The 21,628-nt window shown below is 37.5% G+C and overlaps 1 protein-coding gene across 1 annotated transcript in view; it reads left to right on the top strand.

The window, feature by feature from the left end:
- Positions 1 to 21,628, top strand: part of SVEP1 (sushi, von Willebrand factor type A, EGF and pentraxin domain containing 1) — a 214,494-nt gene that overhangs the window by 71,469 nt on the left and 121,397 nt on the right. The window contains exons 6-9 of the mRNA NM_153366.4: positions 5,056 to 5,235; positions 9,035 to 9,232; positions 11,340 to 11,458; positions 18,494 to 18,623. Coding sequence (NP_699197.3) covers positions 5,056 to 5,235; positions 9,035 to 9,232; positions 11,340 to 11,458; positions 18,494 to 18,623 — 627 coding nt within the window. The remainder of the gene's footprint in view (positions 1 to 5,055; positions 5,236 to 9,034; positions 9,233 to 11,339; positions 11,459 to 18,493; positions 18,624 to 21,628) is intronic.

Below are 21,628 nucleotides of genomic sequence, written 5' to 3'. Positions count from 1 at the left end.
GGAACCAGAGTAGCTTCTTATATTGTCTACTACAAGTAGACTTTTCTCTTAAAAGTCTAAGTTGCTATTTTCTAAAAAGACCAAATAAATATTTAGGAATTGTGATAACATAAATGTAAGTCAAGAAATATTAATTGCAGGATTTTTCGGCATGTTGAAATGAAAAAAATATAAGTTGAAAATTCTTTAAGAAGTGTGTACCTATTAAAATGGTATTAAGTGTTCATTCTTGAGTGAAATGTTTAAGGAATAAATAGGAATTATTGCATATGTTTTGTTTTCAGTGGGGAGCAATGGAAGTTTATTAATACCAACATCTGAGAAGCAGTATAATTTGCATCTATATGAGGCACCGACTCTAATTTATTATCAGTAATAAATCCATTTTGTCTCAGGTTAGGAAAGCTGGAGTCATCTTGGCAGTTTGTTGAAGCCAAAACATTGTTTAATATGGTTTTCCAAATTTTATACATCAGAATTTATCTGATTCACCTTTTAATCCCACCTCATACTTTGCCTTGGGATACACATGAAGGACACACTCAATAAAAGTCAAAATGCAGAAGACAAGATGTTTCATGCACTTGATAGACACAATAAAGATTCTATTTGCATAAATGGGCACATTCAGGAAAAATTAAAACACGGAAGGCAAAATGTTTCGGATCATTTTTTATTAATACTTGACTTTGGTCCAAGCCATTCCAGGGATAAAAGAGGCTAGGGTTTATGATCTAATCTCTAATCTAACTCTTGCATTTTCTCTAAGGAGTAATGGATCCTAAACTTTTATTTAATGCACACAATACTTATGCTCTGCTGATTAATATAATTTGAATGGGTTCATTGTAGAATAAATTCAAACAGTGACTTCAATTGAATATGCACTTGAACATTTTGCCCCCAGCTTCCTTTCCTGGTATTTTAAGGTTGTCTTTGACGTAACTAAATGTATGCATGGTATGAACAATTGGCAAATGCAGAAAAGTAGAAGAAGAAAAAATATATCCCACCCGGAGTCTCAACAAAATTCTTGAGTCCCAAATGTTTTGTTCAAAAATCTTTAGAGATTGTTATAAGAGCTCTCTGAGAGGAAACTGAACTTTATTCTTTTGTAGGGGTTATTTCTGTCTTTTGTACGATGTCCAATGCTTGTAGGTTCTATCTATAATCTATCAAGATGAATATACGTCCCCATCATTTGGCATATTTAACAGGCACCGACTCTTTTTTCCTCTCCAATCTCTGTTCGTGAATGGAATGTGCATGCCTTCTGACTGAGAGTGCATTTTCCATGGGTCTTGACAGCTTCCCCATCTTCCTCTTTCTTTTCCCTATTTATTCTTTCCCCTACCCCTACTCCTTTCCTGCTCTGACTTCCCCTTCCCCTCACCCTGCTCTTCCTCTTCTCCTCTCCTCTCCTCTTCATCTCCTCCACCTATGTTTCCCCTCCCTTTCTCTTTCCTTTCTTCTCCCCTCCCTTCTTCACGACTTTTCCTTTCTCCTTTACGCTCCTCCCTCCTTCCCCTGCTTGGAAACCCTGATTGGAGAGAGTCTAAGTTAGAACTAGAGGACAAGAAGTGTAGGACAAGATTATAAACTCTTTCAAGAGGGTTTTCTCTAAAGAGGAGACTACGGAAGATGATAGATCAGAGGCTCCTGGAGGGTGTGGGAACTGATGGATTGAAGCACTTGAAGGAGTGATCCCAGAAGGTAAGAGGTGATTGTCAGAGACTAGGAAACTTGGATTGGTGACAGCGAGGTCTAGAGGGCATGGCAATGGTAGAAGCTGAGATAAGGTGAAGGATATGATCATTAGAAAAGAAGAGATCATTCTGTAGGTTGCCTGTTTACTCTGATGAAAGTTTCTTTTGCTGTGCAGAAGCTCTTTAGTTTAATTAGGTCCCATTTGTCAATTTTGGCTTTTGTTGCCATTGCTTTTGGTGTTTTAGTCATGAGGTCTTTGCCCATGCCTATGTCCTGAGTGGTACTGCCTAGGTTTTCTTCTAGGGTTCACGATAGCAAAGACTTGGAACCAACCCAAATGCCCATTAATGATAGACTGGATACAGAAATTGTGGCACATATGCACCATGAAATACTATGCAGCCATAGAAAAGGATGAGTTCATGTCCTTTGCAGGGACATGGATGAAGCTGGAAACCATCATTCTCAGCAAACTAACACAAGAACAGAAAACCAAACACTGCATGTTCTCACTCATAAGAGGGAGTTAAACAATGAGAATATATGGACACAGGGAGGGGAACATCACACACTGGAGCCTGTCAGAGGGTTGGGGACTAGGGGAGGGATAACATTAGGAGAAATACTTAATGTAGATGACAGGTTGATGGGTACAGCAAACCACCATAACATGTGTATACCTATGTAACACACCTGCATGTTCTGCACCTGTACCCCAGAACTTAAAAGTATAATAAAAAAAAAAAGAGAGAAAAGAAAATAAGAGATCAGGAATATAACTCCAGGATACTGGAATGATCATTTACATAGATAAGGAAGTCACTAAGGTGTGGGTATATGTGTGTGTGAGAGAAAGAGAGAGAGAAAAAAGAGAAAGGAGAGAGAGAGAGAATTTAAAAAAGGTTATTGGATATATAATATGATACTTCAAAGGAGCTGGAAGTTTTTAGGAAGGAAGGAGAGAGAATGATCTGGGAAGACAATCAGGAGCAACAGAGACACCTCCTCACCTCCAGTCCCTGTTACAGAAGACAATATAATTTTTATTAGGGCAATCAAGTGAAGGAAAAGTTGCTCAAAAGGAAGTTTAGGATATGAGGGGATTAACTGAAACCATCGTTATTCTAGGGGGCAGGTCCAAGGGTCTATGGGGATAGATTTGGAACACAGCTACATGTGGATAACCCTGGTGGATGAGGGATAACTATAGAGCCTTGGACTTTCTAAGTGATTGCCATCAACAGGAATAGAGGGCATGATGAAATCAATGGAAATGGACTCTAACATACATTGTTGGGTTTGAGTGGGCAGTTGGAGACTCTTACCAGGAAAACTCAGAACACAGACATCGTTGGGGAACCTGCAGAGGCTGGAACAGTGTGAGTGCTCTCTGGTAGCTTCTCTGATGTAATGTTGAGGACAGAGACTCAAAGGTGGCAGAACCGCGGAAATGCAGGTTTCTCTGGATAACTCGTGGCACTTTTTCTGATGGTGATGTTGAGGCTGGCTGAGGTACGGGGGCGTTTTCAGCATCCGCAGTTTAGTGAATATCCTTCCTACTGCTTTCTCATGGTGAATTCAAAGAAGATGAAGAAAACCATGTCACAAGTTGTGCCTGCTCACTTCTCTGGCCGGGGAAATGTGCTCCTAGATAACATGCTCTACCCCGAGCACGTTTGGAGCACACACACATCCCATGATCCAAGAAAGGGGGAAGATCTTTCCCTAAAAAATTAACAAAGGAAGAGTTAATGGATGCTGGGCAGATGGAATTAGAAATTGTGTATAGCTGGTATCAAGGACCCAAATGCTGGGCAGAAGGAATTAGAAATTGTGTATAGCTGGTATCAAGGACCCAAATGCTGGGCAGAAGGAATTAGAAATTGTGTATAGCTGGTATCAGGGACCCAAATAACAATGTGTTAAGCCAATTAAGGCTTCATTTTTCTTTTAACTAAAACAAGGACAGAAGTAGGTAATCCAAAGTTGGTGTAATAGCTCCACTGTCATCAGAGAGCCAGACTTCCTATGTTTTTTGCTATACCATCATGGTGCATGATATGTTCCCACAGTATCATATACTTATACTCTAGTATGCTGGGCTACCATTCCTCATGTCTGTATTGTGGAAGAAAAGGAGAAGGAAGCAGGGAAGGGAAAGAAGTACTCTCTCAATTGAGACAGCCCCCTTTAAAAAGCTTTCCAAGGGCGGGTGCGGTGGCTCACGCCTGTAATCCCAGCACTTTGGGAGGCCGAGGCTGGCGGATCACAAGGTCAGGAGATCAAGACCATCCTGGCTAACACAATTAAACCCCATCTCTAATAAAAAAATTCAAAAAAAAAAATAGCCGGGCGTGGTAGAGGGCGCCTGTAGTCCCAGCTACTCGGGAGGCTGAGGCAGGAGAATGGCGTGAACCCAGGAGGTGGAGCTTGCAGTAAGCTGAGATCACGCCACTGCACTTCAGCCTGGGCAGCAGAGTGAGACTCCATCTCAAAAACAAAAAACAAAACAAAATAAAATAAAATAAAATAAAATAAAATAAAAAAATAAAAAGCTTTCCAGAAGTCCTGCTCAATCTCAGCTATATATTATGGGCTCTCATTAGTTGAGGTAGAGGTGGAGAGTTGTAATCTTTTAGCTGGGCATATTACTATGCTTAATAAAACTGGTGAGAATGGCTATTGGGTGGGCAACTATAAGCCTCTACCACAGCAGCAAAAATAAACTGATGTTAATGCATAAGTCAAGATTCGTATCATGAGCTATGATTGGCAGGAATATTTGTGGGAAGGAGAAGTGAAAAAGCTGGAAGAACAAGAACTGGGGTTGGACAGTAGAATACCACAACCGAAGATGGCAGAAGTTGGGTAGCTTTGCAGAGGCTAACACTATTAGAAGGCCTAGGATATGCCCATGAGGTCTAAGAACCAAGTCGATCATGAACCTGAAAACTCTGTCCTGGAAAATACCACTTCCTTTTGTTGTAATGTAGCCTGAAAAATCACAGGAAAGGCCCAGCTGAGAGCATCAGGTACCTCCCTTTTGTGATCACCTCTAATCTACAGTTACCATCTTCCATGTAGGGCCAGGCCTCTTAGACAGGTTAAGTTTCCCACCTATGGGCAGAGGGCTGCATGCGATGATATTATTTAGGCAATGCATTTGGTAAAACATGAACTTTCAATTGTCCCATAAGAACTCAAAAAATGGTGGTGTATTATGTGTCGTTTGCTATTTTAAGAAAAGAAAATTGTCTTGCTTGCAATGTGCAGGCATTGCTAAACTTGTAATTATTATTTTTATCCTTATTTAGCAAAATGTGATCTAATTGCTTTCATTTTACATAGTAAGAACATGTCCTCATCTCCGCCAGCCGAAACATGGCCACATCAGCTGTTCTACAAGGGAAATGTTATATAAGACAACATGTTTGGTTGCCTGTGATGAAGGGTACAGACTAGAAGGCAGTGATAAGCTTACTTGTCAAGGAAACAGCCAGTGGGATGGGCCAGAACCCCGGTGTGTGGGTAAGTTTCTAGAAGGTGTAATGCCTTGAGTGATTCATTTCCTCTGCTCTGATTTCTCCAGTATTCTGTGAAGACCTAAAACTAAACACTAGCTGGTAATGAGTATAAATACATATCCACATGTACAGGTGCAGGTGTTACAGATACAAAAACAGATGTGTTGTCTTACTCCTCTCCACTAGTAAAGGAACTTCTACAATGAATTCTGTTTTCTAACTCACAGAGGTTTATACCTTCAAATGACCATGCCTTTTTTCTTAGTTTTAATTGAGGCCAATTTGGATGGATTTTTTTTTAAAATGCAAATGCCTCATAATACCCTTGCTTTGTTAAACATGTTTTACATTTACCTTATTAATGGAAGGACAAAATTAGGAACCAGTGAATCTTAAAAATTGCTTTATTATTAAACAAGAACAAATAAAAATAACTGAACATTCAACTGAAAAGTTAGGAAAATAAAACAACTGCAAGGCAAATTGAAAGAAGGATATAACCAGAATTGTTTAAGTAAATGAAAAAGAACTATAAAGGGAGAATGGATGCAGGAGAATGGTTAAGAAGCAAAGCTTTAAATAAAGTAATAAAATAGAATTTAAAATATAAGTAAGAAAAATTCAAAAATAGAATTTTTCTGGCCGGGCAAGGTGGCTCACGCCTGTAATCTCAGCACTTTGGGAGGCTGAGGTGAACAAATCATGAGGTCAGAGCTGCAGACCAGCCTGGCTAACATGGTGAAACGCTGTCTCTACTAAAAATACTAAAAAAATAGCTAGGTGTGGTGGCAGATGCCTGTAATCCCAGCTACTCAGGAGGCTGAGACAGGAGAATCTCTTGAACCCAGGAGGCAGAGGTTTCAGTGAGCCGAGATCACAGCACTGCACTCTAGCCCCAGCGACAGTGCAAAACTCTGTCCAAAAAAAAAAAAAAAAAATTCTAAGAACTTTCCATACCATATAGTTTGGCCTAAATAATGGAAAGCCAGCCAATTCATATTCTTGAGGTATTATTATTTAATTGTCAACCTGACAATTATTACCAAAAAAGATAGAAAATTATAGACCAACATTACGTTGGTCTGTAAAAGCTGTAAAAGCAAATATACTAGCAACCCACACTGAAAAAAGAAAATAATCTGCCAATCAAGTAGAGTTTATTCTAGGATTGCAAAAGGGAGTTAAAATTAAGTAATCTATCAATATAATAAATTACTTCATTATAGCAAATTGGAAGAAAATTGTATGGTTGCTTAGTAGAAGATAAAAATTCATTCATTATCATTTAAAACACATTTTCAGTAAAATGTTTTAAAACTCATATTGATATAACTCAATAAAAAATATCAATCTGAAATCTGCAGCCACTTATGGAGAAACAATATAGACAGTCTTATCAAATTTGGCAAAAGAAAAATATGCTCACATTGTTTAGTACTATTCTCTAAGCTTTAGCTCTTGTAAGAAATTATGAGATTAGAGATATTGGGATTGAAAATCATCATCATTTGTAGACTACAAGCCTGCCCCCCCCACAACAAAATAGAATGAATCTACTAATCAACGAGAGCTCATTAAAGTCATTAAAATAGCAAATATATCTGCCAGCAGACATTAGAAAAAATAAAGAAAAATAGACAGCTTTTCTATATACAATGATAAACAGAACATGTGGTAAAATATGACATTCAAAAGATCTATGGAAAATATAAAATATGTCAGAATAACCTTAAATAGAAACGTGTGGAACCTGTATTAAGCAAACCAGAAAAATGTTACCGAGAGATGAAAAGAACATTTTAATATTTATATAAAATGTTTTCAAAATGTTAAGTTCTTTCCAAATTATGTATTTATATATAAATTATTTATATTAATTTGTATATATTATATTACTACATAATTTATATATGTATTATTTTATAATTTATATATGTATATTAATTATATTAATATATAGTACATATATTTATGTTAAGTTCTTTCCAAATTAACCTAAGGAAAGAACTTAACACATTACATATATATGCATTACATATATATGTACTACACTGAATGCAAACTCATTCAATAGCTTAAAAGGGATTTTCTTTTTTGCCCTTCTTTTGGAATTAGGGAATGATTCTAGGGTTCATCTAGAAAAATATTGTAATGAACAATCACTAAAATCAGTTTGAAAAGGAAGAGCAATAGGAATAGTAAATAGAAAGTAGCTCTATCAGGTTTTCAAATCTTTTTTAATCTGCAAAGATTAAGAATATGCAAGGATTGCCATACAGATTACAATTAAGGAAGTATCACAGGTCAGTTGAGGGAAAAAAAATTTATTTAACTGATCATAGGGGAAAATTGACTAGCTCCTTGTGAAAAACAAAACAAAATAAAGTTTCCTGTATGTTTTCAATTCACACTGAACACAGAAATAAATTCTTCATAGATTTTAAAGATAAGGTAAAAGATAAAACCATTACAACCTGGAAGAGAATGTATTTAACATATGTAAGTGAATGCTAACCAGTCTCAGAACTTACTAAGCATAAAAGCAAAGGAATACTTCAAAAAGAAAAACACTCAGTAGATTAGACTATATAAAAGTTAAAGACACGCTCACCGTAAGTACCATAAACAAACAATAAAAAAAGAATAAAATTTTCAACAACTTTGACAGCCAAAAGGATAATTTTCTTACTTTATATAGGCCCAGCTGTAAATAAAGGATACTGAGTCCCACATTGTCATTATCGTCGAACCACAAATTTGGCTTTGATTTTCCTGTTGATCAAAGTAGACTAGGAGGTCTGGGATGGCATGCAGTTCACACCGTGCAGAAATAAAGAGACAAACCATTTCTTGGAAAAAAAATGGCTTTTGCTGGCACAGTTTGGAAAGAAATTATTTCATGGAGGAAGTATGATAGTGGAGTGTTTAGTAGCACACAGATTTTGCCACTTACTTGCATGGTGACTTTAGGAAAGTTACTAGTGTGCTCAGTTTTCATTTGTAAGTTGGAATACTTCTTACAGCATATGATTAAATAATACATGCAAAGTGCTTAGAATAATGCCTGGCACATAGTAGGTACTGAATAAATGTTAGCTATTTATTCAGCTATTCCAATAACATGGAAAATAGAGACTAAAAATGTGAGTAATGCTGCCAGTAGATTCTCTACTACAAAAAACAAATGTGCCTATGGGTGTGTGCACACGCTGCCCCCTCACATGCACTCCCTGTATTAAGTCCTAGCCTTGATTTTCCATTCCATCTGCATTCTGCCTAATTCATCTGCTATTCTTTTTCTGTGCTAAATATAGCATTCAAGGTCAAGGCCCTAAATATAACAGTGATTTTAGGAAGGCTATTAGAAACTTTTCTCATTATATGCTTGCTTAAAAATAGCACCAAAAAGCTCATAAAATAGAGATTGCTGAATATATCACTTAATCCATGAAATATGGAATTCGATTTATGACTTTCTACTTCTAAGCCATAAAATAATATTCTGCTAACTAAATGAATGTGCTCCAAGCAAATGATAAAAGTCAAAATCAGTGTTAATTAAAATATCAGAAGTTTTTGAAAGTTTTGATGATGCACTGGCAAAAATAGCAAAAGATAACTAAAGAGGTATAGGTTAGCATTATTTACAATATATTATACATTCAATGTCATATATAGTTATCATTTAGCAATTTACGTAAATCCTAAGGCAGCATAATTGTATTTTTCTTGAGTAAAAAGAATCCATGGCATTTCCAATTTGTGGGAACACAAATAACATTCTCTCTGTTTCCCTACCGTAGAGCGCCACTGTTCCACCTTTCAGATGCCCAAAGATGTCATCATATCCCCCCACAACTGTGGCAAGCAGCCAGCCAAATTTGGGACGATCTGCTATGTAAGTTGCCGCCAAGGGTTCATTTTATCTGGAGTCAAAGAAATGCTGAGATGTACCACTTCTGGAAAATGGAATGTCGGAGTTCAGGCAGCTGTGTGTAAAGGTAGGTCTCTACACTAGTCAGGCTAAAAATCAAATTTTTTAATATTGCCATATGGGTGCAGTATAGGACAATCCTTCTTTGCAACTTTTGCTGCAAACCCATGATAATATGGTTAGGTGCTACCCCAATATCCTCTATGAGGATTTCTGGTTGAAAGTGGTGAATTTACAAAATCTGATTACAAAATGCCAGACAATGACAGAAGAAATACACAAATAAGGAAAATAGTAGAGCTGAAAATCAGGTAAGTTTTCCATAAGACTAAAATCTTTAGGGAAGTCTTGGTCTATATAAAGCAGGTGAGACTGAATTGATTTTCAAAAAGAAGCTATCAGCACTTTGAAACCTGGCATCACATTCCATTCACAAGAGGACATTGCCATTTTCTCTGCAACAAGAGCAGACCGCTATGAAAAAGGAGTTACTGAAAACAGAAAAGAGTTCTTAGAAGTAAAAAATGTCCTATCTCTAAGAGAAGGACAAGGGCAGATGAATGGAAGGAATGCTGTTGAAAACTATATTAGTAATTTAAAAGACCAAACTGAGAGTTTCCTCACAATGGAGAACTGAATGAGTAAACAAAGAAAGTGCTTGAATTTCCCAATTGATCAAACCAAAAAGATGGAAGTTGAGGGATGCCAGTGGCAGAAGGAAAAACCCCAATGTCCATTTAATAAGGAGTTCCAGAAGGAGAGAGGAGAGGAGATGGAGAAAAATTTCTCTACCAAGAGAAGAAAATTTCTCTGAGCTAGAGAATGGCTTAATCCTTTAGACCACAAATAACTCCTGAGTGTTGGGTTGGCATACTTTGACTACTCCTAGTGAAATTTCTGAGTTGCAGAGTTAATGGAAAAATCTTAAATAACTTTTCATGGAGAAAGAAAGAAATTGCACAAAAGAAACAAGAATTAGACTCACGTTACCTATTTCATTTACAACTTTAAATGCCACAAGGAAATGTAGCAATGTGTACAGGATATGGAGAGCAAATAAATATAAACTTTAGATTCCAGGTCCAGTCAAGCTATTGTTTAAGCATGAATGAAAAATCAAATACTTTTTAAAAATTTTTTCAGAGTTAATATGCTATTATGTCTTCCTGTGGGAGAGAGTTGTCCAAGTATAAGCCCCTTTGAGAAAGAGAAAATATAAATTGAATTAAATTTTGAAGAAACAAGAAGACGTGAGACACAATGAGATCAATTCAGATATATTCAGCCAGAAGTTACAGAAGACCTAATTTAACATAAATTAAAATAAAAGATGTATTTTATCATATAACAAAAGCTTAAGCACTACCATAACTGGCGTGCATCTGTGTAACGTTAGCACGTCTAATTCAGCACCATAGTATAAAGTAAAAAATATCATTGGCTTTAATTTGTTGCTTGCTTTGACAGTACGTTTCAGTTTCTGCTAGTTAATTCTAGTTGACAGCCTCATTTTCAAGTGTAGTTTCTTCCTGTCACAGTCAACATTTTTTAATTTAGTTCATTCAAAAAATATTTCTCAAGCTCCTATGATATGTCAGGTACCATATAAGACAGTGGGGCAAGACATCCTGACCTTCAAATAACTTAAATTCTATTGGGGGAGAAAATTCAATTTCAAAATAGCTTGTTGAGTTTTATGGTTGGGAAATCCAGAGGGCTATGGGAACTTGTGGAGTGGGGACCTCAAATGGGCCTGGAGAATCAGCAAGAGCTTCCTGAGGAGCTGTGTCTAAGCCTGTTCAAGAGCAAGTACTAGACATCCAGGTAAAGGGAGAAGAGGGCACTAATTCAGGCAAATAAAAGAACATAGGTAAGGGCCCAGGTAAAAGAAAGGCAATGGCCTGACAGTAACTCAATGTGGAGAGTGAATTCCTGTAGGAGAAAAGGAAGAAATGAGGCTAAGAGGTTAATAGGTACTAGTTCAAGATTGGGCTCGTAAGCCATGCTGAGATAAATGATCAGGAAAGCAGGTGGGTGCAGATTCCGAACAATCAGTAACTGGGATGTACAAATGTGTCACAGTGTATTAATATAACTAGATTTGTACCTCTTCCTTAAATGATCTAGGACCACATATCAGTGTATTAATCTACTTGTGTATTTTTCTGAGTTAGACGTGGAGGCTCCTCAAATCAACTGTCCTAAGGACATAGAGGCTAAGACTCTGGAACAGCAAGATTCTGCCAATGTTACCTGGCAGATTCCAACAGCTAAAGACAACTCTGGTGAAAAGGTAAGGTTTGTGCAATTATGTGCATCCTTTTCAAATGAATTCTAAATATACTGCAGATATGTGTGTTGAAGACTTACTAATATGCTCATGGTAATACTTGTATTAGGGTTCTCTAGAGGGACAGAACTAATAGGATAGATGTATATATGAAAGTGAGTTTATTAAGGACTATTGACTCACACCATCACAAGGTGAAGTTCCACAATAGGCCATCTGCAAGGTGAGGAGCAAGGAAGTCAGTCCAAGTCCCAAAACCTCAGAAGTGGGGAAGCCGATAGTGCAGCCTTCAGTTAGTGGCCAAAGGCACAAGAACTCCTGGCAAACCACTGATATAAGTACAAAAGTCCAAAAGCTGAAGAACTTGGAGTCTGATGTTCAAGGGCAGGAAGCAGCCAGCACGGGAGAAAGATGAAGGCTGGAAGACTCAGCAGGTCTGCTCTTCTCACCTTCCTCTGCCTGCTTTATTCTAGCCAAGGTGGCAGCTGATTAGATGGTGCCCACCCAGACTGAGGGTGGGTCTGCCTCTCCCAGTCCTCCTCAAATGTTAATCTTTGGCAACATCCTCACAGACACACCCAGGAACAATACTTCGTATCCTTCAATCCAATCAAGTTGACGCTCAATATTAACCATCACAATACTCTTTGTGTATGAACTCTACTCGTAAATGTGAATGCGGCATCTGACAGAATAATGATCAACCTTGAATTTTTAATTAGAAATCTCAGATAAAATCCTCAAAACCAGAAACTTTTCATTCTATGGATTTGTTGTATTATTGTAGCCACTAAGATTACTTGACGAAGAATTCTTTGCCCTTTACTAGGTTCTGAGGATCTTTTAAGAAAAGAAAAGATGTGGACTCAATCCTAATTGCTATTTATGAACCTATCTTTTAAAATATGGGCCCAAAATGATTGTGTATTTTTCAGTCAGAAAGAGATAGCACTGGTGTTTCTTCTTCAAGCTTGTCTGAATCCAGCATTATTCAGAACACAGTATTTTAATTTTCTTTGTATAGTAGCTTGAAATAATCCATCAGATGTTAGAAAAATAGTTCATTTAGGAATTTTACTTCCTCTTATATGTACATGGTTAGTATTCATATACATTAAGATGCACTTAAATATTATGTTATTTCTACACTTACCTGTAAATATATATAAGTTGGACCAATCAGGATACACTGGGGGCGGCGGGGGGGATGCAGAGCGCAACATAGAAAAAATAGCTGTTCCGATCATTGTGTTGAATATACTTACAATCAAGGTAGCTTTTAAATCTGATTTGAAAAGGGCAAATGTGATTTCTAGGGCTGAATGCACTTTAGGTGGTTTGTGTGTTGAACAGTCTCTCATGTGTGATATTTCCACCACATCTTTTTCTTTTCACTCTGACCCTCCTGCCTTCCCCTTATAAGGACCCTTGAGATTACATTGAACCCATCTGGATAACTCAGGAGAATCTCCTAATTTTAAGATTCTTAATTTAGTCGTGTCTGCTAAGTCCCTTTTACCATGTAAGGCAACGTGTTCACAGGTTCCAGGGATTAGAACATGGATGATCTTTGGGGGGGCCGTTATTCAGCCTACTACATGGGGGAAGAACTTGAATGTGCTTAAAAGAATAAAAATAGAAATGGAGAGAACCAATTGAGATGGAGAAGTTGAATATACAAGGAAAAGAGGGGGCAATTCATTGTGAATGGCTTCTGTTCAGAAAGTGATCAAACCTGAAGCGTAACTAAAGGGAATAAGTAAGAGAGTTTTGAAGTTTTAGGAGAATTGAGAAGTTTTGAAAAACTCATTCTGAGAAGGAGAGTGAACAGACCAGAGAAATATACTAGGATTATTTGGCTACAGTTGGGGGTCCATTTGAGTTTTGTGATCATAAACTTATAGAGAGATTAATCTGCACTACTGTGTGAATTTCTCCAAAATTGATGTGATTCTCTAGCGCAGGCATGAAAAAAGTAAATAATTGGGTTTCTTTATAATGTAGAGGTTTGAAAGAAAAAAAAAAGACAGAGAAGGCAGTTTAGACAATTGGGGAAAAAAACCCCACTATATTTATTGTAATAATAGAACATGAACTCAAAGCAGGGTAAGAAAGAATAAAAAGAAAGAACTCACGATGCTGTCATGAACATCCTTGTACTAAGTCTTTGTCTTTTGTCTCTGATTATTCCCTCAGAAAATTTCCAAAAAAAGAAATTTCTTGGTAGAAAAGTAAGATGCTAAATTATATGTACAGTGCAATCAAAACTATAATTGTGTAACTGATATTGAATAGTCTGAACTAGGAAAGGCACCAATAGAAAATAACCATTATTCTACAGTCACAAGCTTTGGTTGCTCTAGGGTATACCAATAGTTCTTTCCATAATTAAAAACCACTTTCAAGGATTAAAAAGAAGAGTCTTGCTGTCTAAATAAAAGCTTGAATCTTGTATCCACTTCAAAGCTTTTTCCTCTTGCGGCTCAGAGGAGGCCTGACTGACTTGAGGAAAGAGGAGCAATTGATGCTATTTTCCCCCTTCTATGCCTCCCCGTCTCTGTCTCTGGCCTCTCTAGGGTCAGGGCTGGTGGGATAAACAGAAAAATGGCTACCTCAAAGATATCCTTGTCCTAATCCCTAGAACCTGCAAATATGTTTCCTTACATAGCAAAGGAACTTTGTAGATGTGATGAAAGTAAGGACTGTGAGATGGGAGGATTAGCGTGGGTTATCCAGGTGAATCCAACTTAATCACATGAGTCCTTAAAATAAGAGAAGTACCTTTCCCAGCTGTGGTTACAGAGCGATGCTATAACAGAAGGATTTGAGAGATGTGCAGAGAGAAGGACTCAATCTGCCATCAGTGGCTTTGAAGCTAGAGGAGGAGGACCATGCAGGCAGCCTCTAAAAGCTAGAAGAGGCAAGGAAACAGATTCTCCCTCAGAGCCTCCAGAAAGGAACTCAGCCCTACTAACACTTTCATTTCAACCCTGTAAGACCCATCAGTGTCTCTAACCTATAAGACCACAGGATAATACATTCTTGTTGTTTTTGTTTGTTTTTTGCTTTTTGATTGTTTGTTTGTTTGAGACAGAGTCTTGCTCTGTCCCCAGGCTGGAGTGCAGTGGCATGATCTCGGCTCACTGCAGCCTCCACCTCCCAGGTTCAAGCGATTCTTCTACCTCAGCCTCCCAAGTAGCTGGGATTACAGGCAAGTGCCACCATGTCAAGCTATTTTTTGTATTTTTAGTAGAGACGGGTTTTCACCATGTTGGCCAGCCTGGTCTCGAACTCCTGACCCAGTGATCTCCTGCCTTAGCCTCCCAAAGTGCTGGGATTACAGGCATGAGCCAACCGTGCCTGGCCCATTTTTGTTGTTTTAAGCTGCCACATTTTTAGGAATTTGCTATGGAAACAATAGGAAATGAACACAGCTGGGAAAGGAGTATTTTTGAGGAAAGGTTCAAAAGTCTTTCATTTGTTTAAGGCTGTGTGGCCCTCTTTGTATTGCTGATGCACTCTGAGAAGCAAAAAAAAAATTATCTCTCTTGTGTAGTCCATGTGCACATTCTGCAGGAGGCCCTGTAGAAGCACCACCCCCTCCCCAACCCCTTACAGTTCCCTGCCATGAAGGTGCATTCTGGCAGGACCTCTGCTGCCCTTCCCCTTAGCTCCAAGCACTGTCATACATCCCACAACCTCTCAAAACCCCTAGAGCAGAGTGTAGGGCAGAACAACTCAAGTACTACCATCTCCCCTTTCAGCCTATGTCACTTCACCATGCCAACAACTGGGAGTGCAGGCTGACACATTTTCAGAACAGCCTTCCTCCCAGTCTGTCCATATTGCTCAAATAAGCCTCCTGCCTTCAAAATTCACCAGGAGAGATGCAGCCACCTGTCTACATTCATATGTGCCCCTAAACTCCAAGGCATGGGTGTCGGCCTCACCCAGCACTCCTCACATTGGGGTGAATCTATGGATTTCTTCTGCCCAGCAAGCATCCAGCCTGGGAATGGGATGCTGGTCTCCTTTTCTGTAGGCACCCCCTTCCCCCTGCCAATGTTCTATGAGTGGTTGTCTGAAGCCCTGCCACTTGGTTTAAGGCAGTATTCCTCCCCATTCCTTGCCCCATGGAGAAGACAGGGGAAATATCCCAACACTCTACCCAAGTCAATTCTCCTATTTCATATATATATATATGAAATATATATATCCAGCCACTGCTGTGTCAGCCTCCTGGCGATTTTTCCATTCTTAGGAGCTTTAGGACTGTAGCTGCAATTATATATGGAAGGAATATAGTCTTTTTAATAAAGTTTTAAAAACATGCATAAGCCTTTCATTACCCAATTATCTGTGGCAAAAAAAATAAGAGTATCTATTGCATTTCGCCCAAGTAAAAGGAGTAAATTATCAGTTTAACTTTTCAGCCGCTTATAGTTTATTGATATAATCTGGGATTCTTATTCTAATTTATTATAGATTAATTAATATAGTTTTTTTTACATCCCTTCAAAAATCTTTGATAACACCTGAATCCTAACGACCACAATTTTTCACACTGAGTATGTGTTTACATAGTTTTGGTGTTTGCTGACAGTTCTTCACACCATGACTTTTCTCTCTTATGAGGGATTTGTTGTGATTCATCTCATTTGGTAGGTTCAAAATCCATTCTTTCAGAAAAAGTATATACAGGTGGTATATTTATTAAGCCTTTGCATGTACAAGAACATCTTTTATTTCCAGACTAGCATTTAATGACTAAGAGAAAGATAATATATGCTGATTATTATCTTTTTTTAGATAATCTGCTTTTTTTCTTCCTGAGTGCTGTGGGAATTTTTTGTTGTACATTAAGTTATCTGGGATTTGTTTAAGTGATGATTGTTCTTTATCAACTTTGGTACATCAAGAGTCCTTTTTATGTACAGTCATAGCTTTCTTCAAATCAAAGTTTTCTTCTATATCTTAGAACATTTTTCTTATTCCATTCATTCTGTTTTTTTAGGAACACTGATGATTCGTAAGTTATATCTCTAATTTCTATTCTGTATGTCTATTATCTATTCCATGATTTATACTCTTAAGTTTTCCTCTGTGTCCTGAATGAGACTTTTAAACTTACTCTTTGTATCCCTGATGTAATTTCCTGGAGCAAAATAACTATTTGACTACCAAGATACAGATAAATTTGCACACACACACACACACACACACACACCCCATTCTATAAAATATGTAATGCTATATATAGTAATAGGTTACTAAAATAGGTTAAAAAGGGATTCTACTTACAATGCAAGATAAAATGTAAAATATTTAGGTTTCTATTTAAAAAGAAGGGTAAATGGCACCTTAAAGGAAAATATAAAACATTGGCAGGTGAAATAATGAAATCAAACAGAAATAGATGCCATATTTGTAGATTAAAAAACAAAATGTTTCATTCTAGTTTTTCTGAAAGAAAAAATTTAAAAAGCAAAATATTTATAGAATAAATGTATTTCAAAAGTACTGTTAATATATTTTTGAGCATGAAAAGTGATTCTGTAACGGAAAGTAGAAGAATACCTAGATTAAAGTATTGAAAAGAATAATAAGAAACAACTGGTTCTATCAGAAATCAAAATATTTAATAAAATAAAAATAAACAGAATGATGCAGTACTATTTCATAATAGATGGATTTTAAAATATCATAAAGGGGAATCAGTGAGTGATTTTTAAGATGTAAAGTTATACTCTCAAATCATACCACACAGAAAATATATTTCCAAATTATAGTTTAAATCATAAAAAAAACTACCATCAAATATTTTTGGATGCTTATCAAATCATTTCATGAGTAGCTTTCTAATCTTATTTGAAATATTTTTAAAACTACAGTGAAAAGGAAATTTATCAATTTTCAATGGATGAAGAAAATAAACATACAATTCAAGAAGTAAAAAATATAATACATGCAAACTTGAGAATTTAATCTTAGCATATGGCATTAAAAAACAGTTCATTAAAACAATGACCTGGTGCCAGATTTTTGACTTACCAAAAATTGATGATATTTAATATAGATCAGAAAATGTGGTTGACAGTGGGAATATGAATTGTTACCATGCATTTGGAAATAAGTTTTATATTATCTACTAATAAAATGTTAATGATTGGGTTTAATAATTCTGTTCATGGAACTCTATTACAAGGAAATAATAAATAAGCAAAATAAGCCAAGCACAGAAAGACAAATATCTCAGGTGAGAGCTAAAAAAAAGTAGATCTCATTAAGATAGAGAGTAGACTGGTTGTTATCCGAAGCCAAGAAAGGTGGGGGAGGGAGAGATAAGAGAAGAGAATTAGTGGGTAGGAATACATGTTTTGATAGAAGTCATAAGACCTTGTCTTACATAGATCAGTAGGGTGACCATAGTTTACGATAATCGATCATATATTCCAAAATAGCTGGAAGAGAAGAATTTTAAAGGTTCCAGCATAAAGAAAAGATAAATATTTAAGGTGATGGATATCTGAAGTGCACTGATTTGATCTTTATAAACTATATGAATGTGTGAAATTATTACATGTACCTTGAAACTATGTACATCTATTATGCATCAGTAAAGAAAAGAAGAAGAAAAAATATGTTTAAATTATCTGTTCAAAACTGTTTACAATGGAAATGTTTGGGTCAAACTAATGTCCTTCAACAGATTTTTCTTAAATTATCTTATATTTATTCTACAGAACATTATGGAAACATTTAAGAGTCATCTTAAGTTTTAAGGACTACATAAGAGCATAAAAGATGTTTGAAGGTATTATGTTTAAAAAACAAGGAGAAATATTTCATATGTGTGCCAATTCTATAAATCATGTAAATAGAATAATCTGGAAAGAAATATGCCAGAAAGCTGTGCCTTTTTCCTTTCCTCTTTGTGAAATATTGTATCATTGTTAACATTACTAATAATATATAAATCAGAAAAGAATAAACGCACTTTTGACATTAACTTTCAAAATATTTGTGTATCTCCAATAGGTGTCAGTCCACGTTCATCCAGCTTTCACCCCACCTTACCTTTTCCCAATTGGAGATGTTGCTATCGTATACACGGCAACTGACCTATCCGGCAACCAGGCCAGCTGCATTTTCCATATCAAGGTTATTGGTAAGTGATATAGTTTGGTTGTTTCCCCATCCAAACGTCATCTTGAACTGTGGCTCCCATAATTCCCATGTGTCGTGGGAAGGACCCAGTGGGAGGTAATTGAATCATAGAGGTGGGTCTTTCCCATGCTGTCCTCATGATAGTGAATAAGTCTCAGAAGATCTGATGGTTTTATAAGGGGGAGTTCCCCTGCACGTGCTCTCTTGCCTGCCACCATGTAAGACGTGGCTTTGCTCCTTCTTTGCTTTCTGCCGTGATTGTGAGGCCTCCCCAGCCATATGGAACTGTGAGTCCATTAAAACTCTTTCCTTTATAAATTACTCAGTCTCGGGTATGTCTTTATTAGCAGCATGAGAACAGACTAATACAGTAAGTCTTCATTGAATCATTTGGGCAGGTTTATGAAAGCAATCCAGAACCCCAGAGACCACTTCTCCTTTATGATCAACAACTCCCTTGTCACTGATTCTTCCAACTGGCATTGAAACTTGCTCAAAGCACTCCCTGTTTGAAACCTACAAACCCTTTAACTATTACCACTTCTCTTTGATTTCTTCCCATATGAGCCCACATGAAAGTTCCCAATGCTTGCCATGTCTTTCTGCTTAATTGCCATTTATTCGGAGTCACCCAAATCTGGCTTCTATCCCCTTCACTCGTATAAACTACTGTCATCAAAGTCACCAATGATCTCTGGTGTTACTCTGCATACTTTTTGGTCCTAATTTTACATAATCTTTCCTCATATTTTACATTTATTTAATTTTTTTCAGAGACAGGGTCTCACTCCGTCCTCCAGACTGGAGTGAGTGCTGTGCCACAATCATAGCTCACTGCAGCCTCAAATTCCTAGGCTCAAGCAATCCTCCTGCCTTAGCCTTCCAAATAGCTGGGACTACAGGCATGTGCCACCACACCCAGCTAATTTGTTTTGTTTTTTTTTAATTTTTTTGTAGAGACAAGGTCTCACTGTGTTCCCAGACTGATCTCAAACTCCTGGCCTCAAGTGATCCTCTCACGTTGGCCTCCCAAAATGCTGGGATTATAGGTGTGAGCCACCACACCCAGCTACGTTTTACATTATTAACCACACACTTGTTACCAAAACTTTTTCCTTCCCTTAGCTTCCTTGATGTTAGTCTTTCCCGTCTTTTTTTTCCCTCCATTATTTTTACCTAACCTTCTTTATCTCTTTTGTAGGCTTCTCTTCCTCAGGCTAATTCTCAAATGCTGATCTTCTCTAGGGTTTCAGCCCTGGTCTTCTCTATCTCTCTCTGTAGTTTTCCTGAGTGATTTTGTTAACCAACAACTCCCATATTCCTATTTCCAGTTCGAATCTCTTTTCTGGAATCCAAACTGGACTCTGAAAGCCTCCTGGACTTTCCCCATATTAATGTCTCACAGGCATTTCAAACTCACCTAAACCTAAATTATTTCCTAGCTCAGAAAAGGACACAGCCAACCACCTAGCTACCAAGCGAAAACCTTGGAATCATGCTTGACTCCCTGCCCTCTCACCAATATCCAAGAAGGTATCAGGTGCTGTTGGTTTCACCTACTTGATATCGCTGAAGTTTGTCCCATTCTCTCCATCCTCAGAACCACCGCTGCGGATCAGTCCTTTGAAATCTTTTGAGCCTGGTTTACCGTATCATCTCTCAATTGGTCTTCTGCTCATTACCAAAATAAAATACATGGAGAGGTAGGCTACATAGCAATCTGTAGTGGACAAGAGCATGGACTCTGAACCCAAGCTGGTTGGGTTCATGTTCATCTCCACCGCTTAAAGTCAAGGGGACCAGTTCCTGCTCTATACCTCAATTTCTTTATCCAAAAGTAAAAGTAATGAATGTATTACCTCATTGTGAGATTTTTAATTTGTGATAATATATAAACCACTTGATCTAGTGCCTACCATACTTTAAGCTCTGTGTGAAAGCTAGATGACAACATACTGACATTTTGCAACATTTATCTCAGGTCTATTTTTCATATGTTTATTTTAAAATTCACTATGTTAAATTCATTTTGTTTTAAAAATGTTACATAACTTATTGAAATAACTAACATATATTAAACTGGTTCCTTACCCTATACATTACAGGTTTTGGTAAAAGTAGATGAAAGAAATCCAGTAAAAATCAGACTATTTCACAATGCTTAGTTTTTAAAAATTCCTTTTTCAGTGTTGTTTTAAACATGAGCTTTACCATTTGCATGAAAAATATGTTGGATTCTCAAAAATCTGACACAGTGATTTTAGACTTGGAAATGTGGTTCAGGAGTTTGCCAAGTTTTAATTTTTCATAATGAAGAGTCAGCATAGTGAAATGTGAAATGTGTACTTGAGTGACTACTAGACTTTAACTGAATTCCCAAATTATAAAAGAGAGAGGGCCAGGTGTGATGGCTCATCCTGTAATACCAGCACTTTGGGAGGCCAAGGCAGGCAGATCACCTGAGGTGGAGAGTTCCAGACCAGCCTGACCAATGTGAAGAAACCCCATCTCTACTAAAAATACAAAATTAGCCAGGTGTGGTGGCACATGCCTGTAATCCCAGCTACTCGGGAGACTGAGGCAGGAGAATTGCTTAAACCTGGGAGGCAGAGGTTGCGGTGAGCTGAGATCGCACCATTGCACTCCAGCCTGGGCAACAAGAGCAAAACTCCGTCTCAAAGAGAGAGACAGAGAGAGAGAGAGAAGGTCCAGGTGTGGTGGCTCACACCTGTAATCCCAGCACATTGGGAGGCCGAGGCAGATGAATCACCTGAGGTCAGGAGCTCGAGACCAGCCTGGCCAACATGTTGAAACCCTGTCTCTACTAAAAATACAAAAATTAGCTGTGTGTGGTGGCGCACACCTGTATTCTCAGCTATTCAGGAGAATGAAGCAGAATTGCTTTAATCCGGGAGACGGAGGTTGCAGTAAGCCAAGATCATGCCACTGCACTCCAGCCTGGGTGACAGAGAGAGACTCCATCTAAAAAAAAAAAGAGAGAGAGAG

The sequence above is a fragment of the Homo sapiens genome, chromosome 9 (genome assembly GCF_000001405.40).
Source record: "Homo sapiens chromosome 9, GRCh38.p14 Primary Assembly".
Lineage (NCBI taxonomy): Eukaryota > Metazoa > Chordata > Mammalia > Primates > Hominidae > Homo > Homo sapiens.
The sequence above is the reverse complement of the archived record's forward strand: the minus strand, read 5'-3'. Positions and strand labels throughout refer to the sequence as shown.